Here is a 22,980-nt window from a genome sequence, read left to right as displayed (position 1 = left end):
GATAATGAATGAAGCAATTCCATGAATAGGTATCAGAGTTTGCTTCCTCTTCTGAAGATGTCATGCTGTATCCCAGACAAATAATTGAAATCCTGTGTCTTTGAAATCTCTTTCTGATAAACAAAATATAAAGAAAACATTTAACTTGTAAGGTGTTTGACTGATGATTCTTTATAAAGTATAGTATTCTCTTGAGTGTGCCAGTCTGCTGAGTGGTTTCATTTATTTATTTATTGCTAAGCACCTTCAGAAAGTTCTGCTATGTTTCCTCTCTAGAATTCAAAGTATTAATAAAGTGATATTTGGGAAATGACTCAAGTCTACCAGTAAATGTAGTAAAAGAAAACAACCTCAGGAGTATGTGTTGGGTTGGGCACAGTGGCTCACACCTGTAATTCCAGCACTTTGGGATGAAGAGCTCAGAGGATAATTTAGGCAGGGGTTTGCAGCCAGCCTGAGCAACCTAGTGAGACCCCTGTCTCAACAAAAAAATTTAAAAAATTAGCCAGAGTGTGGTGGCATGTGCCTGTAGTCCCAGCTACTCTGGAGGATGAGGCAGGAATATTGCTTGAGCCCAGGAATTTGAGGCTGCAGTGAGCTATGATGGTGCCACTGCATTCCAGCCTAGGTGACAGAGTGAGGTCCTGTCTCTTAAAAAAATTTAAAAAAAGAGTATGCGACAGTCATTTTCTATTGGTGCAAAAATTTTTATGATGAGCCAAAAAATGACACAGAGTGAACAAAGGCAGAAGGCTCACACATTATGAAGAGCAGGCTCTGAGTATAGAGACCATAGATTACCATTTGCTCCTTTGTCTTAGTGTAATTATTAATATAATCTACTTTCGGCCGGGCGCGGTGGCTTACGCCTGTAATCCCAGCACTTTGGGAGGCCGAGGCGGGCGGATCACGAGGTCAGGAGATCGAGACCACGGTGAAACCCCGTCTCTACTAAAAATACAAAAAATTAGCCGGGCGCAGTGGCGGGCGCCTGTAGTCCCAGCTACTCGGGAGGCTGAGGCAGGAGAATGGCGTGAACCCGGAAGGCGGAGCTTGCAGTGAGCGGAGATCGCGCCACAGCACTCCCGCCTGGGCGACAGAACGAGACTCCGTCTCAAAAAAAAAAAAAAAAAAAAAAAAAAAAAAATATATATATATATATATATATATATATATATAAAATCTACTTTCATTTTCAGGAGAAACTTATTTTTCTCCTCAGGGGGAATCCAGGAATATAGCTAGTGGGGAGGACATAAACAGTATTTGGCTCATATTAGGTACTCAATAAATGGTGACAATTTTATTAAGAAAGGACAGTTTCTGTCATGACTCCACCAACAATGTAGGTATGCACATGTGTGCATGTAGTTGTGTGTGGATGTGTATGTATTGTGTGAAAAGATACTTTTTTATTACATAGCAGAATTCTAATAAATGATCTAGCATAAAAGTAGGGAATCTAGGCTGGAAGTGTAGGGCAGCAGGTGACTGGCCTCTGAAACATTTATCTACTGAAAACTCAAACTCTACCACTAGTTGAGAGTGCATTGCAAAGTTCTGCTCCATTGAAATGCACAGGTAGTGACAGCTCATTCAATTAAAACACTAAAGTAAGGAGATTTAGGATTTGGTTAAAGCTTATTGAAGGGTAAAGGGAAGGATAAGGATAGATGTAATTCAAGAACAAGGGAGTATCTAGTGGTTATTTCTAACAACACCTGGTTCTGATATTTTGCACAAATATCAGAGTAGCATCCAGGTACTCTGGAGTGCAAAGATTAAGAAAGTAAAGATGAATGGGAGTTGTATGAAATGTCATTTTCCCACAACATTGGTCATGCTTGATTAAAGAGATTTCCTAGTGAGTTGAGTCCTATTGAGACTAACAACTTACTGGGGTTTCTTTTAATTAAAGTATCTCTAGAGTTCATATGAAAGTTATAATAAATGTGTAGAATGCTACCATATTATATGATATTACCAGCTAGAGAATACATTCCTGAGACTATTTATGAAGCTTTGTTAGAACATTGCAAAGCATTAGTTCACATTTTTAAAAGCAAATAAAAAGAAACAGATTTTACAGTATATGTATATATATGATAGGTTTCAACAAAGAATACATCCATAGAATTTTTAAAGTTATATTTATTTTCAGCTTGAGGAAACAGCTTATTTTAATAACACTAAAATTTTAAGAAATAGTCTAAGAAATCCCAGCCTTTAAATATATAATATAAATACATACAGTAATAAATAAAATGATAAATGCACTTTAATTCAGCAGTGTAAAACACAGAATATTTCCACACCATTTTGCATTTGAGTTTGTTCTTATATTTTGGTATGCTTTTTGTTAGAAATACATGACTAACACTCCTATATCATTAAGCTTTTTATCGAAAAAAATATTATTGCATTGAACTACAGTCCAAGTAATTTATTGAATAACCTAAAAAAGCTGCTTTGCATGTACAATAGTGCAATTTACTTAGCCACAGTATAGTTTAAAAAGACAATTTATACAGAAAATGCAACATAAAATTATTGGTTTATGTGTCATATTGCCAGAGGATCACCAAGTTTAATTACAAATTTAGTACTTTAAATAGAATTGAGTAAGATGGGAATTTGCTTTAAACAGCTATACGACTAATTTACATTGTCAACTATTTTATCTCACATATGGAAGGAACTAACAATTTTGCTTGGGGATAAGAAACCTCTTCTTGAAGTTGTTGTTTCAATATGTGAATATGTTTTAAAAAACACTATTTTCAACAAAGATCAAGATGTACAATTAAAGACTAAAGAGTATATTTATTAAAAACACACACAGATTCACACTCACATGTGCACTCATACATATTTTAAGTTTTCCAATTTGCCTGATTTTATTTTAATGCTTCTCACAAGATATTCTTACTCTTGCTATTTAAGAAAAATGGGGGGTTGCAAAAAGAGGAAGTGACTTTGAGAAAATAATTTTAAAAGTGGATTGGGAGCTCTCCCCCCTATATATAGCTCCATAGAATGAAAATGACCCTTTGGCTTCTCTTTCTAATATTGGCTTATTCTAAACCTAACCCATTCAGCTGCTGCTTCCATTTTAATATAGCTTAATCCAAAGATACAACAATCACTTTCAATGTCTACCTAATAGAAGAAGTGGATAATATTTTTGCTGGAATGAAATGATAACCTTTGAAAATCCTCTAGACCCAGGCTTATTGGCACGAGAACTAGTATTTTAGTAGGAAATGCTCATCTTATTGAAGTGGTTTCAGTCTGAAACACAAAAGGCAACTATCTGTTTTCCTGACTATTGTGTGGAACTAGCCACTCACATGCTTTTTAATAATGTTTCTATTTGCCAATGAGAGCACATTTTCCTTCAGAATTTCATCTAATTTAAAGAATCAAAACTAAACCTTTTCATGAGCTTTGCTGAGCCAGAGATGAGCATTAGGTCCATTTTGCCCCTGAGTATCTTATCTGCATACATTGATATGTAAGATTTAGATCTTTTAAATTGTGTTTTTACAAAACTGGATATGACATTTACATGTTTTTTTCAGAATGTTAACTATGTTTCTGAAAACTCAGAAACTGAAAACGTGGAGAACTTTTTAGGAATGATTAAGAAATGTGCTACTGATTTGAGATGATCAGCAGTACTATTTCACCACTAAAGAGTTAAACATCCACACATCCTGGGGAGGGGATCTGGACGTTTCATTCATATACATCTAGGACACTTGAATACCAATCGGTATCCTAATGGGTAGAGCCATCTCCATATCTCCAATTATTGTATCAAATGATTTGAAATGTATAATGTTTTAGGATCAACTTAAAAGTATGGTGGTAAAATTCAGAAAGCTCTGTTGCTGCCAGCATTTTGAGCTGTGTAAGTAATAACTTCATGCACTAAGGAGATAGTCAGATTCAGCAATATAATCTTGAGTAATTGTACTGGTTAAGTGTTTCATTTAACAGAAACGTTTTACAGAATTAGTTTCTTTAAGTGTATTTCCATTTAGAGATAACAGAGAGATTCCATTAAGTCCTGGCAGAAACTAAAGAAAAGGAGTCACTGTAAAATCCATTTTCGGGAAGTGAAACAAATTTCAAGGGATTATTTTATAAAATGTCTACCTAAGCAAAAACTCTGGGAATTGGAGACTTTTTAAATCATTCTCTATATTCTAATCACTTCCAATATTTCATTTATAACGTCTTAAAGATGAACCTTAAGTTTACCTTTGCATTTTTATAGGCCCATTGTATTTTTTTTCTTGCTGAATTTGGCAGGCAATTATTAAGAAGATGAACATTCCCAAATTTTCAGTGCTTCATACAAAGCATTTATTTCATTTACCTCGAATCCAATGATGCTATCTGATGCTAGACTGGTTCATAATCTGTAAGAAAGACATATAGATAGATAAATGTGTGTTTGTGCATGCATGTGTGTGTACTTGTGTGGAAAGATTTCACAGCCTTTCTTAAGCATTTAGAGCTTAAGACAGATTTTTTAAAAACTGCCTCCATGAGCCACTTGTGAAACAGTAATCCCATAAAGAAAATTAACCTGTAAATATCAGGCAATAGTCATAAAATAAATTTAATGCTAAAAGTCACCTGTCAAATAATTATGTAAATGGAAGGAAACACTGCTAAAAATACAATCCATCACAGTGACAATTTTTTTAAAATCGAACTATTTTAGGGTTCAATATATATTAAAATTTTTTTTTTCCCAAAGTGTGTTTATCTCAAGGTAAAATGGAAAATAAAACAGTGTTTCAGCCTACAGTTACTGATTTGGGGGGAAGTAAGTTGCATAATTGCATCTTTCCTCACGTGATGCCACAACTTTTCCAATTTCTCACCCTGGAGTACAAATTATCTTTTATTTAAAGGGAGATGTTTGCTTTCCACATAGTCCAAATTAGTTTGTCCAGTGAACACCTCATCACTGTTAATACAAGATGGAATAGTCACTTCCATGTCATCCGTTCATATCAATCTGTCTTTGTTAGTCAAAATTAAGTGCTCAGTAGAGGTGCTCGGGTCTAACCTTCTGAGAGTTTAAATTGTCACCAAGGCAATTATAAAAATCAATCAAGTGGTCAGTGTTTTTTATAATAGGACATCTAGTGAGTTTCCATGATTACTCTATCTTGGCTCTGCATCAGCTTTGTAATTTGCTTTAGGAAATAATTATCCACAGGACTTAAAAAATCTGCTAGACCATTTGTCATCCATTTTATAAGAAATATTTCGTTTGTCTTGCTTCTTTTTGGATTTACTCAATGTTCATCAGTGATCTTTTATAATCATTTTTATGGAATTCCATGCAAGTATAGCTCCTTGCTATTTGATGGTTTTTCTTCATTTCTCCATTCATTTTAAATTTAGATTCTGTCAGTGTTATGTACCAGTCAGAACTCTCATCTCACAAGTTTCTAGTGATATCTTGGGAACTGCAGTTTTTCTTTCTGTTAAAATTTCAAATTTACTTTATCTCCTTTTATTCTTTTTCTTCCCTCCACCCTTTCTTTCTCTTTCTCTCTCACCAGTCTCTCCTGAATCAACGATGTCCTTTCCTACTGTTTACCAAGTATTTAGTATTTAACCTTTCTATTTCATTTTCCTTATCTGTAATGAGGAATGATAATACTGATTTCAAAATACAGTTGTGAAAATTAAAGAAGATAATGCAAACAAGTGGATAGGGTAACTGTACCTGAATCACAACAAGCCTTAAATATAGCTATCTTCCTTTTGCAGCCAAGGCTGAAGAAGACATCCTCTAATCTTCTAGTGGTAGAGGAGTTTGCATCTTCGTATAGACAGCATTAGATAAATGATTACCTCCATTTCTGTTAAGTTTGATTTTCTCTGAAACTCATGCTTAAGAACATAAAATAATAAACCTAACTGTAGGATTATGCACCAATATAGATGTATGAAATGCAAATTTTGGCGGCCAAAAACCATTTTGAATGAATGTTTGAAATTATTTGCAACATTACATGGATGGTGAATTTATTCATCATTATTCATTGTTTCATAAATATCTAGTACAATTGAATAAAACACACCAGATATTTAATAAGATATCCTCAATAAACATGTAAAAACACTGACATTTTCAAACCTTTACCTCTATCCTTATACATGTATTGGCTGAACGTAGTAAAATTTTTGAGTAGAAGAATAATAAACAATATTTTAGTTCCTGTTATATTTGACAGATTGACCAATATATTTAAAAGGTTATTCTGAGCACGTTTTATTTTTGAGTTTGCATTATCAAATACTAATGATAGTTTGTATATGTTTTTATACAAAAGTTAAACATTCTTAGTTTTAGATTTTGCTGATTCTTACAATTACAAAATTATCTTGACATAGATTTGTGTGAAATGAAGATAATTTATTTTTCACAGAAACTCAAAAGTATAATCTATAAAGATTGTTTTTCATTAAAATGTAATTTTCAACCTAAATTAATCAGAAAATGTCTTGTTCTTATTTCCTATGAAAATACAGTAACAGACTACATTAATTGAAAACTTAGTCAATAGTTAACGACATAAATTACTTTAAATAATTGCTTCATTTCACTGACCTTTTATTATCTAACAAATAAGCCAAATCAACACTCATTCATTCACACAACAAATACTTAGAACGCAGGGTGCCATATTTCATTTGATTTTTCTTTTTAATTTTAATGCTCTGCTTGAATGTTTTCTGTTGCTATTTTATAACATTATGCGAGAACCCATCCAAAACAAATCTTTAACTCTTTCCCTCTTCCCTCTACGCTTTCATAAAATTATTCAAATTTGCCTATTATTTTGGCAAGCTAAAAAATTATTAAAATGCTCTTGTTTTAGTATTAGCAATTCAGATCATATTTATATATTTGTCACATTTTGAATTGGCAGCAATATTTTAAATCTTATAATTGACAGACTTCTTTAAATGTATGATTTTATAGGTAGTGACAATTAAAAAAATTATCCACAGGAGGGGCTTTAACACTTATTAGTTCAAGTGTGTGGACACATTTAAGGCCTCTTTCACTTCATTTAGCTGTTGCATCTGGCTAGAGCAAGAATGATGGCAAAAATCTTGACCTTGGAATACTGGTTGGATTAAAGGATTCAAGTGGATGATAGAAGTTGTGGCTGGATTTAAGTGAGGACCAAACAATGTAGGAATAAATGCTGTAGGGGGCAGAGGCTGAAGTGTTATGTGAGATGGGTGGAAGGGGGTAGCAGCTACTAAATGCAGGGGATGACCTGCTAAGAAAGTGGGGTGTGCAGGGATAATGGTTGGAGTCAGAGTCGAAAATGAAATAGGACTGAAATGTGCCTGTGAAAGAGGATGTAGATGAGCAATAGGGAGGTGACTGCTATGAGAACTTAAGGAAGCAGAAACAGCAAAATGCTGCAGGAACGTGTGGTGGATGGTGGTGATAGAAGTGTGCTGGTGAACTGGAACTGTCTGTACGGTTGAGGCCGGAGAGAAGGCAGTAGGCCCTGCAGCAGGCAAAACTCGAAGATGCTTTGATAGGAGTTGCTTCTGCATATGCTGCTGGGCTTGTAGCTGTAGGATCTTATATTTATCTATTTCGTCAGGAGAAAATGTTATGGGCTGTTGAATTAAAGGGGGAGAGATAGATTTATGACACATTTCTAATCCGTCTTCGACTTTGTCAGGTTTCTGCATAGTTCTGTCATAGTAAGAGTTTATATTTCCCTCTACATGATTTATATGCATGCTTACATCCTGTAAGTCTAGATTTATTTGGTCTTCTTGGGTCTCTGTTGAATCAGTCACACCAGTATATTTATTAGACGGAAAAGCACCAGGGAATTCATTTGGTACTGGGTCACAGCTTTGAATAAAAGGTTGGATTTCACTAATTAAAGGTTTTGATTGTTCTTTTGTTGTTGCATCCCTTTTTATGTTTAGTGACTGAGACTCTGTTACTAGGTGAATTATACCTTTAGAAAGATGGTTATCACAATCAGTGTCTGCTAAAATTGTAAAATTATTTGTGTGTGAACTTTTGCTTTTGTCTTTCTCCGTAGTCCTTGGAATTGCACTGTCTTGATCATTTCTGCTCTCACTTGCATACTGTATTTTTTCAGACAAAGGCAATGCTTGTCTGTTACAGCCTGATGGTGCAAGTTGAATTGTGCATGGGACTTGCGAAGGAGCCTCTAATTCACTTTTACAACTGTTTGAAGAGATCTCAACATTACTTGATTGTTCTTGACATTTCTTGGCTTGTACTCTTTCTAAAAGGATTTTTGCTGTTAGAGGGGTCCTCTCTCCTTCTGCAGTGTTTGATTCTGTGGTTTCTGAAGGGCCACTGGAACAGTTCTTTAGAAGGCAGCTGATATTCCCGGAGTTACACTTCATGGGCCTGACTTTTCCCAGATCACAAATGTGAGGGCTGCCCAAAGACTCTTGATTTCTCTTGCTTTTATTCAAGTAATACATTTTCTCTATTGAGTAAGAGTCCAATCTGTCGTGCTGAGTTCCCTGGCAATTAGGTGGTTTTTTACTGCTTCCAGTACAGGAAATCTGTGAGTTAGAATCACAATAGATGATTCTCGTAGATTTTAGCCCTGAAAATTGTTGTTGATTTTTGCCCAGTTTTTGTCTTTCTCTGCAGTGACAATATCTACGTTTTGAGTATTTTTCATTTTTAAATGATTCCCACAATTTGCAGTTCCTCTCTTTCTGTGGTTCAGACTGCATTTGGCTGCTCTTTGTTATATCATCAGACAAGTAGAAGCAGTTGTGCTTTAGACATTTCCGTTTGTGCCTTTCAACTGAGTGGTGTTCTCTTTTATGGAAGCAGAGCAAATTACCTCTGCTATTACCATTGAATCTATGACTTGAACAAGTACTTCTCAAGCTAGACATGCTGCTAGGGGATGTGTCCAAAGAGGAAGAATATCTACTCAAACATGACTGTGGAGAGTATCTCTTGTATCTTTGGTTTCCACATCCGGAAACCTTGCTGGTCATGCTGATGTGGTTACTCTTCAAAATTACACTGAAGTCTTTCCCATGGTCACTGTGACCCCCTACTGTACAAGGACTGGACTTGCAGTTGAATTGTCTTTCATCTTCAAATTCCAAATGAGGACTGCAGGGAATCAATTTATGCTTTTTAAACCTAGAGATGTAGGAAGGAAAAGATAGGTCCTCATCTATATCATTTAGAACTGCCTTTCTGCAGCCTTGCCAATGGGCCCTTGAAGCTTCCTTAAGTTTGTTCTCACTACTATTATTCTTTCCAGCACAATCCTTTAGAGATGTGTTGAGGTAAAGAGGCACTTTAGGATTTTTCATTTCCAAATCATTTGCACTGAAAGTATATTCACTCTTATTTGGCTCAGAATCACTGTAGTCCAAATTATATTTCCTCTGGAATTTTTCCCAATCCGGATTAGCTATCATCGTCTTTGGTTTCGGATATTGATAATCTTCTTGGATCAATTTTTGTTGGTCTTCAGTTAAACCTGAGACTTGGCTCTCTCTTTTAGTCTTCAATTCCAAGGGCTTCTTACCCAATTCTGTTTTTAAGTCCTCTAGATTGTGGTCTTCCTTTGTGTTCCGAGAAAGCTTAAAATCAAAATACAGTGGGTTGCAGCCATAAGAGATACAGGGTTCTGTTTTTGTAAAGAGCAGAAGTTCCGTAGGCCATTGAAGAGTGGTGTGGCCATCCTTGCTTTGAACGTGGAGAAAAGGTAGTGGTTTAGATGCCACATTATGGGTACATGCTTCTTTTACAAGTCTTTGAACATTTTTGCTAACTCTTTCTGTTTTATCTAAAGATTTTTCTCTGTTCTCTATTCTGGAATTTGGATTCAGATGCACTGTACTCTTTTGTTCACTTGGCTCCAGTGATGAAAACTCATCCAGGCATTCAGATATCCTGGCATCACTATGGTTGTAAATGTTTGGTGGGCTGAAGGAAGCATTTGCTTGGCATGGGTGATTAACACAATTTTCTAAAGTGTTCTTCAATGTATTTCTAGTTTCTTTTTCTCTGCTGGTAGGAGTAAAATCTACATCTGAAAGATGAATGTTAGATTTAGAGAATGAAGCATGAATGCCAATTGAATCTTCTAGTGTCTCATCAATAGAGTCGTGTTTGTCTTGCAAAATTTTAGAGTTTATGGAGATGGTATTGTGTAAAACACTTTCCAGATGGCTTGGTGAGATATTTACCTCTTTTTCCTTGGTAAGGTGTGTATCTTTATTTGCAAACCTGCAGCACTTGCACTTATCTGCAGTTTGTTTTGTTTTATAAATGGGTGACTTGTTACAATCATGGGTTTCTTCTGTGTTCTCACTGAAAACTGATGCTGAAGATTCTAATTTTAGGTGCACTTTTTTGGAAAAAGTAAATGATACTCCTGTTCTGTGATTTGCATTGCTGAGATCTGAAGATGTTTGCAGTACCTGATTTCCAAACAAACAACGCCTGTCTGATTGTAATTGGTGTCGATTTGGCATGGTGGACCGCTGTTTATCGGATATGATTCTGGGGAGATTTTTTCCTTTAAGGAGAAGAGCACTCTTCATGCATGATACCTTTCTGCCATTCTTAATGGGGAAAATTCCTTGCTGGAGTTGCTTTTCTATGGCTACCCTGGGGGCTTTGTATGCTGGTCCATTTCCAGAAACACTGTAAATACAATAAATATTTAAATGATTAAGAGATTAGCTTTGGAATCATATCTACATATGAACATTTCATAGTGTTTCTAAGATGAGTTATTTTACATTTTATGAGCTACATCTTCTAAAACATAACCTTTTGTTGTCCTTATATAGCTTAGCATAAATTGTATAGTGGCTATTTCTAAAATGAATTGTTTACATGTAGTATTTTGCAATTACCAAAAAGCAATAGCAAGTGAATTATCTTATGCTACTGCTTCTAAAGCATTTACATCACAATATATGTCCTATAGAATCTATCAATCTTTGGAATACAGATTTAACATGATTTCACTAATAGTTTTCCAATCAGTGCATTCACATTAAATAAGAAATTAAATAGAATTAAAAGCCACTTTAAAAATATAAAAATTTTTTTAAATTTGCTTTTATGTGCTATTTCTAACATTTTATAATGTTTAGCTCCTTGGGTTTAAAATTCCCTCATATTCACTTACTTTTGAAACACAGTGGTAAGTTCTTTCTTTATGACTTGTCAGTAATTTGACTAATTATAATAAATGCATAATAAAATAAGACATATGTACAATCTATCTAAATACCTTCAATGATTTTGAAATCTTTTCTTCTGCTTCTTACTCACCAAAATATTTTTTCTACCATTTCTGCATTATATGTTTTATCTTTTAAAGGTCTCAAAAGGTTATTTGTTCTACTGAGCTTCATTAGCAATTCATACAGAAGATTGAAAATATCAACATATATAAGAGATAAAATTCTTTAGATTAAAATTATATGCCCTTTAACAGTCTATCTATATACCCTCTACTATAAAAGAAGGCTTCACTGGAAAGAAGACAATACAAATCACATCATTTTTCTTATTGTTTGCTTTGAACTGGCATTCTTTTTCTTGTTCCATATACTTGGATGTGTTTGTTTGCTTATTTCTAATTTTGATTTTTATTTTACTTTCCTCTAGTCATTTGTTGCTTGAATATAAAATACTAAGCCAACTGGTATCTCTTCCATATGTTGCTCAAGTTCTAATGTAGAGTAGTGCTTTCTGAGTCCTTGTCTAACAAATTCTTGTTGGTTTCTTTTACCATTCTTTGGCAAATCAGCATCGAACTCTAGAGTCATCACATTCCTTTTGTCCACCAAATTTCATGTACTTTGCTTCATTGTCTCTAGATGAATCATATTATAGACATATTGAATTAGCTTCCCTTTATTTATCTTTGAGATGAATCTGCTTGTGTGCTTGTATGCTTTTCCCTTCTTATAAAGTGTAAAAATATAAATATATATAATTCATTAGATTTGTTACATAAAGAGTATATATACATGTATATTAATATATACATATATGTATGTATAACATTTTAATAGAACATAGTTAAGGTTGATTAATTTGGGTGAATTTTTGTTCTTGGGCACTTTCAATTTAACTTTCTTCAGTTCAGATACATTTTTTTCCCTTGATTTATCTGATTATTGCTTCCTTTGGAATTTATGTTTTAAAATCATTGGCTCTCCTGAATATATCCTTTAGGTATTGATATTTATCTCAGTACTTTATTCTGTCTTCAGTCTTTTTCTATAGTTCAGGGAGAATTTCTTTGATTTTATTTCTATTTTACTGACTCAGTTTTTTTTACAATATTCAATCTGTTTACAAATTATGACCATATGGATTTTAACTTGCAAACACTAATTTTAGCCACCATTTAGCTTTTAATGATTTTAGAACGTCTCCTCTTCATGAATGGCTGTAATTTTAGAATTACAGAGTTCCTTTAAATCTTGTAAAAAACTAAATTTAGACGTTTTTAAAAGCTGTATTATCTTCCTTACAGTAACTCTTTCATAACGGAAAGTTCTTATTCATCACATTAATCTCCTTTTATTGAGTAAATTTTTGATGTTCATTAGGCATATTTAATAAAATGAATAGTGAGGAGCATTCTAAGATAGTATATGAGTTACTGAATGTTTCTTTCAAGCATAAAAGTAAATAAGGAGCGTAGAGACTTTATTACAACATTATTGGCCTTTGAAAGTGCCTCCAGCCTGCAGATAGAAGGAAGTGATCCAGAAACAGCTGCAGCATTCAACTTTGCCTTGGTACCAAAGAGATTATTTTCCATATTTGTAGCCACAATTTGGATTAAGTAGGAACTATACTTCTGGATTAAGTTAATCTTCTCCAGAAGCTTCAATCGATCTGACATTATCACCTGTATGAAACACAGTTGAAATTATTCCACAAGTCTAGTGTATGGATACTATTGTTCTTCCTTTCCCAATTCCATTATTATGCAGTTATTTTAGTATTTATTATATCATGTTAAATATATTATATATATACTTTTCTTAATAATAATTTTGCTGATTATCCTGACACTGTTTTATTCATTTTCTTGCTTTATGTTAATCTAAATGTTCTTTTCTGTACTGCTGTTTTATTTTACCATGTAGCTCTCTAATATGCAAGCTTCTTCTTTTTACATTCTTTTAAATATTTTAAAATTTCTTTGCTCTTATTGTTTTTCTAATACAATGTTCTCTAGCTTCTTGTCCTTAATTCTAGTTCTCATTTTCCAATTTAAACTGCATTTATAATTACAGATTTTTCACAAGTTTTAACATTTTGTCCTTATTGTTAATCTTTGACACTTCTTACTTTTATTCTTTAAACTTTTTATCTTGTTGCTTTATAAATTTTAATTTGCTTTTTCTTAAATCAAAGTTATTCTTATTATTTTGGAAAATCCTGTTTTTATCTTTGTGGGGTTTTAAATTCTACTATTTTAATACAAGTTTGGGTATTATAACATTATTAAAGCTTTAACTTTTTCTAGGTTTATTGAGATATAACTGGAAAAAAATTGTATATATTCAAGGTATACAATGTGATCATTTGATGTATGCAAACAAATTAATTTGTGCATCTATCATACACGTAGTTACCATTTTGTGTGAGATAAGGGCACTAGATTCACTCTCTTGGCAAATTTCAAGTAAACAATACGGTATTATTAGCTAAGATAATCATGCTCTACATTAGATCCTCAAAACTTATTCATCTTACATCGGAAAGTTTATAAACTTTGAACAATACCTTCACATTTCTCCCACCAGCCCGCCCCTTGAAACCACAGTTGCATTCTCAATGAAACTTCAATTTTTATAGTTTTCTCCACATTTAATATTTCCCTCACTTCTTTGGAACTTTCTTTAGTTTTGAAAATATATTCTTACTTATATTAAAATAATGGTTAATAAAGTGTCTGTAGAGTTTGGTTTTTAATTCTTATTGATGGATTTTCCATTCAAATTGTTCTCCAAAAATTCTAATACTCTGCAGCTTAACAAATGCACATTTTGATTCTCTCCTGTTCAAAAAGCATCCTTACCAAACAGAAAGAAAAACATATCAAAACAACATGATTTTTTAAAATGGTGTCATTCTTTCGTGTTCCATTTTCCAGCTCTTATATGAAAAACTTCATATAAGAGCTAGATAACGTGGAACATTAAGAAATGACACCACTTAAAAAATTCATAGTCTCAGAATCAGTGGCCCTAAAATTTTTAAATTTTGGAAAAATTTCCATATTAAGATGTACTAAAACTTACATACATAAGAAGTTCACATACAGAGAGGGACTAAACCCTCAGCCCCATATAATAACTGCTATTGCTGAGGAAACAGGTTGGCTGGAACTAGTTAAGAGACGGTCAAATTTGATGACCCTTTATAAGATCTGTTACCATTTTTTTGCCATCATTTTATGCACTACCAGTAAATTCACCTCTCTTCTCCCAAAGGGTCACAGAAGAATTGTGTTACCTGGATCATCCTATTCAGAAGCCCTCATTATGAGGAAAAAGGACAAAGAAAAGATTGTCCAGGAGAAGGGTAATGCCAGTGATTTTTTCTTTTTATTTTATTTTTAACTTTCACTTGTCAATTCACCTACTAAAATAAAGTATTTAATAATTCTGTTAAGTGACTTTCCTTCAACCATGAGTCTGTTTAAGCAGAGAGAGCAATTGGCTAAGAGGCAGGTGATGGGCAGTAGACGATAAAAAAAAATTATTTTCCTAGTTTCAGGCTCTATATCTAGAAAGCTGAACACTTGTCTTTTCCATAACAATACGGGCACATTGTGACCTAGAGAGTTTGCCTATTTTATCAAATCACCAAAAGGAGTGGTTAGGTTTGTGTTTGTTTAGTGAATAAGGCTTCCAGAGGGACAGCTGAAACTTAATAGAGTGGACCTTTTTATTTGAAAGAAACTTAATGGGTAGCTCTAGCAAACTTGGAACTTCTAAATAAACCATCATCATCACCATCATTATCATCATCAGCATCATTATCATCATCAGCATCATTATCATCATCACCATCACCATGACCACTGCCATCAGCAAGGCACCTCTGATTCTTTGTTATTTACTCCAGAGGAAAATATAGAATGGGTAAGCAGAAATGTAGAAGTGTGACAACTTTCATAATAACAAACAACCAAAATTATATTTGTTAAGACTATTTAGATTTACTGTTGTGCCCTTAAGGGACCTGTCTAAAGACGTATATCTATGTTAGAACTTGTACCATTTGTTATGATCTGACTTACTGCATCTCCTTATTAATCACAGGAATTAACACTTTCCCTAGATTTTTTCCTGCATGCTACCCTAACAACAATAGAACTTTTCCTTCTAAGCCCTATTTTGGCAAGGACTGAGTTCTCATTAACAGTATGTTTGCACAACATATTGTAAGTCCCTCATTGTGTTGGCTGTAGAAAGCTCAGTACCAAATGTATGCGTTGCTTCTAGAGTTGTATAAGACCCCAGAGCATGCATTTTTGTATTAACCTTACTTCTGGCTACATGTTGTACCTTTATTTTGTCTTCATATGAAATTTCTCATTTCTTGTTAATATGATTATCTTTTATGTATTTTCATAAATTAATTAGATTATTCTAAAAGTTATAAATAAATACATGCAAGCTGAATATTAATTGCATTTTTACTCATAATTGGTCCTACAAAAATAAATGTTTCCTTAAAATTACCTTTTAAGTCTAATATTTTGTGGTAACTAATTGAGCCACTCACTCCTGTTTATTATATATTACTTTCCATTTAAGCAATAGGTGTTTAAATTCTGGCACAGAGGCATAAGTTTCACAATTCACTAGGTTGCTGTCAAACACATTAATTAGCTACATTAGTGTTTTACATTATGATTCATATGAACACAAATCACAATCCACAAATTTAATTGCATTCCAGGTAACAACTTTGAAACATCCAGTGGTTCCAAGCTTTGGTAAAACTGCTATTTTTCAGCTACAAGAATGTATTAGTATAAAACTTGTTATATTATAATTATCAATTTAAATGGCACTGTGTGGTAAATTTAACTGCATTAATTACATCTTGTTTGTCAGCCAGACAATGATCGTGTTATTTGTACTAGACACAGGTGTGTACACGGAAATGTTCAGAAGACTTATTCCCCACCCCCTAAGATATATTGTTAATTATGGTTTTTAAAATTATTATTACAAAATTTAAAAAATATATTAAGAAGTGATATTAATCCATTTAGTCAACTGGATAGAATAAATGCTAATGTATTTGAATCATTCTGGGATCATTTCATTATAGAGTACATTAAATTAACAATATTAGGAAAGAAAAATATCAAAGGCCAAAAGTTATTAATTTATGTATGTTTAACTATATTTGCCCTTCAGACATATCTATTAGTTAGTTATTATTTGTTTACATTGTTACAGTAGATTTGCCTTTAAAATTTCCCCATAGGTTGACGAGAGTTTTGAAGCATCCCAGACACCTTTAATTCTTACCATTCAGATTGCTGCCTTAACTCAGCCAGCTGATGAAGTCGTTTAAGTGCTTTTTCTTGTTTTTTCTCATCTTTCCATGACTTAGAAGCTACATTTCGAGCAAATTCCCGTTGCTTTAATTCTTTCAGTCTCTTGAAAAAGAAGAAAAACCAAAAAGGTACTATAAATAAATAATATATTCTTTTCCATCCACAAGGCTCCTTATTATTCTTTATCCTAAGTGCAGAGGTGACTTTCTGGGCAGAAAGAGTAAAAGTATCTTCTCCATTGTTGCTATTCTCTGCTCCAAGACACATTTAGCAGATAAATGTGTTGTCAACCAGGTTATTTTTCCAAGCTTGTCACAGTCACTGCAAAGCTGGGCCCCAGGCCTCGCTGGTATCACCCTGGCTATGCAAGTATAATAATCTGTGTGCTTATAAAAACACAAATGGGAAAAACATGCAATATATGAATGAGTATGAAGGGAGGCAGGTTATGAGATGCATGTTCTTCCACCCACCTGCCCCTCACTTGTAAAAGTGATGCTATTAAATACACTGGGTGGAATAAGCTTGTTTCAGGAAAGAGCATCTGTTACTGTGAAAGATTTGGTTCAAAGCTCTAAATGTGATTTTGAATTCATTTTTCTGGATGGAGATATTTATCAAATACATATTTCTATATTGTATCCAGGAAGACAGAAAAAAATGAGTCAGGGATTTAAACTCAGAATAGAGGCATGGCCCTGCTTGATTTAAATTCACTCACCACTTATTTTAATTAATATTTTCTCTAAAACAATTGACTTACATGCAAGTAAGACCTCTTCTTAAGAATCTGCCACTAAGCACAGCTAATGATATTGAATGAACTGAGAAACAGCCAAAATCAAATGAACCTCTTGAAGTTTGGGGCTTAATCCTGAATTGGAAGTGTATTTAAAGATTATCCTCTTAACTCATACAAAGTGATTTTAAACAGTCTAAAATCTGTATCTGTTGAAATTATTTTCACTTCCCATATCAAGTATAAGAGATGTTTCCCAGGTATGGAGAAAACTACATAGTTATCATGTGACGTAATAATACTGGAGCCGACTGTTACTCACTTGCAGAGCAAGGGCCAAAACCTTTCATTAGCTTCATTCTTTAAATGAAACATGCTCATGGTAGACAGTGGTGAGATAACTACATCTAAGCTAAGGATTTGAAGAAGAAGGCAGATCGGTCTTTCAAAGAGAGAATATTCTCAGCACAAAGAACAAGAACCTCACGGAATTAGAAACAGCTACAGGGAGAACAGTGGACTCAACCTGAATTCAATTTTTGACAAATAATTCAAATCCTTCTAAAAATAGAAAATTTCAAGAAATATAATTATGCTCTATATGTTATCAGAAAAAAAAGATCAATAGTTCTCTGGAAATTATAAACAACAGATGATCTGAGCATTAAAGCGTGGATAGCCTTGGTCAGAAGACAGGAAGAAAGGCTTATAAAATCCTTATTGCTACGTACCCTGCTACTCACTTCCTCGGACCCTATGTACTTGAAAGCCTATTTCTTAGAGTGAAGCCTTGTCTTACAAGCAAAGACCTTTTGGAAATTGTCCTAAATGATTTAAGAACAAACATAAACTATAGTACAACTGTGTCAGAGAGAGAAAATTGCTATTTTGGAAAAAAAGGAGAGGGTTTTTTTAATACTCTGTTAGTACTGAATATAAATACCCCATATTATACTTATTTAATATTAGGTATTACCAGCACACAAAACTTGTATAATAAAGAGAAGGAAATTGATTCATTTACTCACAACAATTGACACTTGACTCATTTTTGGAATCCTGTTTGAAAATTTGGGGTACCTCTGTTTCTTTTATTAGCCTTCTAGATTCCAGGACTATACTTTTATTTTTGAGTTACAGAAATGATTGAGAATTCTGTATTGTTTATCTAACAACAAATATTGTTAATTGCTACTATGTTAATCCTTATTATTCTTACTATGAAGTGTAAAAATGTACAAATCAACAAATCAATTTTTTTTTCCCTTCAAGGAAGACAGACAAGTGCTTACACTTCTGTAAGATAGTGTTGAGTTTCTTAATAAGGGTGTACACAATGTGCTTTGGAAATATACAGGAATAGTTAAAAGATTAATTGTGTTTAGGAAGTTTGCAAAGTTAAAATGTTTTTAAGGAACACAGAAAACTGGAAGAAGAGATTTTGTTTAAAGACATCTAGCCACAAATTTGGTTTAGTCAGTGCTGAGTGCTCAAGTTTAAGTAGAGAAAAAAAAACCCAGAGATCTGCTGCAAGTTTTCAGTGTACTGAACAATGCATCTCTGTGAGGAAACTGTTCCAGTTTAGGAAAAAAAAATCATCTGAAACAGTTTAAGAAAAACAGTGTCTAGCATTCATATAAAGCCAGGAATAGTGGCTGTTTTCACTAACAAAACTGGAAAAAAATGACAGGATATTGAATAGATAATTCAGAAAAGTCATGCATCAGTAGAGGATAATTAGTCATAGATTCAGCACTACTTTGGAGTTGCTTTAAAAAAATCATAAAAGCAGGAAATAAAAGTATAAAACTGACTCCACATAACTAGCTGAATCATAGTACCAAACACTGGGATATGTATTGCAATACAAAAAAAAATAGCCAACAGAAATGAGAAAAATTAATATTTTGTATCCAATCAAATATTATCAGGATGTAATAGCAGTTGAAACTGGTCTGTAAGTTAAAGAAAAATATACTATGAACTCTACAGCAGCCATTAAAATGATAAAGTGTTTTAGCCAGGAGGACAACAAAGGAGATAAAAGAAAATCATTAAATGTACTCAGTGCAAGAAAATGCAAAAAAAAAAAAAAAAAAGTAAGAAGGTAAGGTAGACTGGACAATTATAAAATAAATAACAAGATAATAAATAAAATTTAAACATAATAATAATATATTAAATGTAAATGGTCTAAACACCAAAATTAAAAGACAGAGAGTATTCATTTGGATAAAAGCGTGAGGTCAACTCTGTTGACTACACAAACAAGCTTTTTTAAAAATGAGGACAAAATGAGTCAAAAGAAAAGAATGTAAGAACACATATTATGTCAACACTTGTCAAAAGAAAGCTAGGGGGGCCATATCACTGTAAGACAGATTAGATCTCAGAGCAAAGATATTTTACCAGGAATAAGAAAGGTTTCTTCATAATGATGATGGAGCATTAAAATACACAAAGTGAAAATGGATACCCACTGCATGGAGGAAAAAATGGACAATTATTATAGAATATTTCAACGTCTTGCTATTAAACATCAACAAAATACTAATTGCAAATCCAATACTTACGGAAAACGTTACACCAAAGTGATTGTATCTCTTATAAAAGACCCTTCCAAAAGTGTCTTTGTATGATGAAAAGAGGACTATCAATCACTGGACAGATGGGGAGGACTTCTAAGAATCCAGAGGCCAAATTTTGCCAGCCTCATGTTTTGGCTTAGCCCAAATTTCTATTTTTCTCCCCTTGTTCTGACAAGAACTCATTTACTTCAGCCATGGCACATACAATGATTGTCAGTAACCTTCCTCCATTTAAAGAGAACATAATCCATTTGGAAGGAAAATGTTCTTTGAGGGTGTGTAATGAATCAGCTCTTATTGAGAACAGACAGCACATGGCATACATATTTCAGAAAAAAATGCTACTTTACACATTTACACACAATAATGGGAAAACAAATAGGGTATTGTGCAAAGCGGGTGGTAAAGAGTGAATCTGCTTTATTACCTTACAGTCTAGGTAATAAACAAAGAGGTAACATAGGTAAGATTAGAACAATACCTTGCATTCTTATCCTTTAATGATAAAGGTAGATGGCCATATAGTAAAGAAAACTAAGCAACATAATTATGATACAAGTGTGTTATATTATTAAATACATTTTTGCATCTATTAAAAGGATCACATTATTAATTTCCCTTTATGTAGTGAATAACTTCTATGCATTTTATTGTGTTAAACTTCACATTCATAGGATAAATATTGCTTGGTTTTTATATTAACATTTTGAAATATTGATGAATTTGATTTGCTAACATTCATTATGAACTTTGCATCTATGTTCATGTGTGATATTGGTCTGTATTATCTTTCAAAGTTCTTGTGTCATTCTAGTGTGGTTTTAGTCAATTCAGTTTGCTATAATAGAATACCACAGACTGGGTGGCTTAGCTAACAAACATTTATTTCTAACAGTTCTGAAAGCTGGGAAGTTCAAGATCAAGTTGCCTGCAGACAGATCCAGTGTCTAGTTATGAAATTCTTCCTGGTTTGCAGATGGACATCTTTTTGTTATATCCTCACATGGCCTAGGCCAGAGAGAAGAGGCAAGCTCTCTTGTCTTATTTGTAAGGGCACTAATCCCACTCACGAAGGCTACGCCCTCATGTCCAATCACCTCCCAAAGAGTCTACTTACTTCATAATACTATTATATTGGGGTTTGAGGGAACATAAACTTATGGTCTATAACAAATACCATGGTAATAATGGCCTCATAAAATGAGTTAGAGAATGTTTTATCCTCTATTTTCTAAAAGACTGTGCATACAATTAATATTACATATTCCTAAAATACTAGAGTCACCACTGAAGCCATGTTTTCCTGGAGTATTTTTTCTGGTTGTTGTCGGAACTTGTTAAATCATGAATTCAGTTTATGCAAGATATATAAGACAAAATAGATTTTTTATTCTTTTCTGAGTGAGTTTTGGTAATGTGTTTCTTTCAAGATTGTTTCACATTTTATTTAAATTAGCTTTTTAATTGTCAAAACATTGTTCCAAAAATTTTCTTTTTATTCTTTTGATATTTGAAGCATCTAATGCAATGTTACCTCATTTAAACCTGATATTGGCAATCTGTGTATTCTATATTATTCACCAGTCTTTCTAGTGATTATTAATTTTATTAATATTTTAAAGGAACCAGATATTATTTAGTAGTATGCTTTCAATAACATCTAAATATTCACACATTTTCTGGATATCTTATTGTTACTAATTTCTATTTTAATACAATTTTGGTCAGAGAACATATTCTGCATGATGTCAGGTCTTGGACAGTTTCATAAATGTTTTTAAGATAGTTGTAGAAACGTTTATACTGACTCAGCCTATGGTCTATCTTGGCAAATATACCATGTGCACTTGAAAGCAGAAAATATTTATTCTGTTTGCTGTATTTCAAGTTCTATAAATATCATTATGTCAAGCGGTTAACAGTTTTGCTTAAATCATGTATTACCTTACGGAAATTTGTGCCTACTTGTTTTATCAATTACTAGTGAAAAGATATAAAATTCTGCACTTACATTTTGTGATTGGTCCATAGTTCCCTTTGTTTCCATCAATCTTTACTACGTGTTTTTGAGAACTTTCGCATCAGATGCATACATATTCAGGAATTTAGAATTGCTATATCTTGTTATTTAGTTAACTTTTTATAACTATGAAATATCCCACTTTTCATCTCAAAATACTCTTTCCTTTGAAGTCTACTTTGTCTGATATTAGTACTGTCATATCTCTTTTCTATTACTTAGTGTTGGTATGGTATATCATTTTTTATTCATTTAATTTAAAACAGATTGTGTCTTTAAAATGTATTTATTTTAAAAGCCATTTATTTGGATCTTGTGTTTTTATTCATTCAGGATTTTTTTCCTTTTAATTTAGGTATTTATTTACCTTTAATGTAATTATTTCAATGTTTGTATTTCTGTATACCATCTGTATACTTAAAATACCATCTGTATACTTGGTGAATCTGCTCTTTTCTCTCTTTTCTCTTTTTTCTATATGCTTTTTAGTAGATCTAACATTTGTAGAATTCTGTTTTATCTTTTCTATTGATTATTTAGTTACGTCTACCTATGTCACTTTCATAGTTGCACTAGACATTAAAATATGTAACATAAAATTATTATTATTATTATTTTTTGAGATGGGGTCTCGCTCTGTTGCCCAAGCTGGAGTACAGTGGTGCAATCTCAGCTCACTGAAAGCTCCACCTCTCGGGTTCATGCCATTCTCCTGTCTCAGCCTCCTGAGTAGCTGGGACTACAGGCACCTGCCACCACGCCTGGCTAATTTTTGTATTTTTAGTAGAGACGGGGTTTCATCTTGTTAGCCAGGACAGTCTCGATCTCCTGACCTCGTGATCCGCCCGCCTCAGCCTCCCAAAGTGCTGGGATTACAGGCGTGAGCCAACGTGCCTGGCCGCATCATAAATTTATTACAGTTTATGTTAAAATTCTATAATATGATCCATTTAAAATAATATTAATGTATATTTTCAACTA

The 22,980-nt window shown here is 33.2% G+C and overlaps 1 protein-coding gene across 1 annotated transcript in view; it reads right to left on the bottom strand.

The window, feature by feature from the left end:
* Window positions 1-5,569: 5,569 nt before the first annotated feature.
* Window positions 5,570-22,980, bottom strand: part of ZNF804B (zinc finger protein 804B) — a 578,829-nt gene continuing 561,418 nt past the window's right edge. The window contains exons 3-4 of the mRNA NM_181646.5: window positions 16,624-16,754; window positions 5,570-10,735 (exon numbers count right to left, since the gene is read on the bottom strand). Of these exons, the coding sequence (NP_857597.1) occupies window positions 7,066-10,735; window positions 16,624-16,754 (3,801 nt within the window). The 3' untranslated portion in view covers window positions 5,570-7,065. The remainder of the gene's footprint in view (window positions 10,736-16,623; window positions 16,755-22,980) is intronic.

Source organism: Homo sapiens, chromosome 7, assembly GCF_000001405.40.
Source record: "Homo sapiens chromosome 7, GRCh38.p14 Primary Assembly".
NCBI classification, from domain to species: Eukaryota; Metazoa; Chordata; class Mammalia; order Primates; family Hominidae; genus Homo; species Homo sapiens.
Note: the sequence above shows the minus strand (reverse complement) of the source record. Positions and strands in the feature narration are given on the sequence as shown.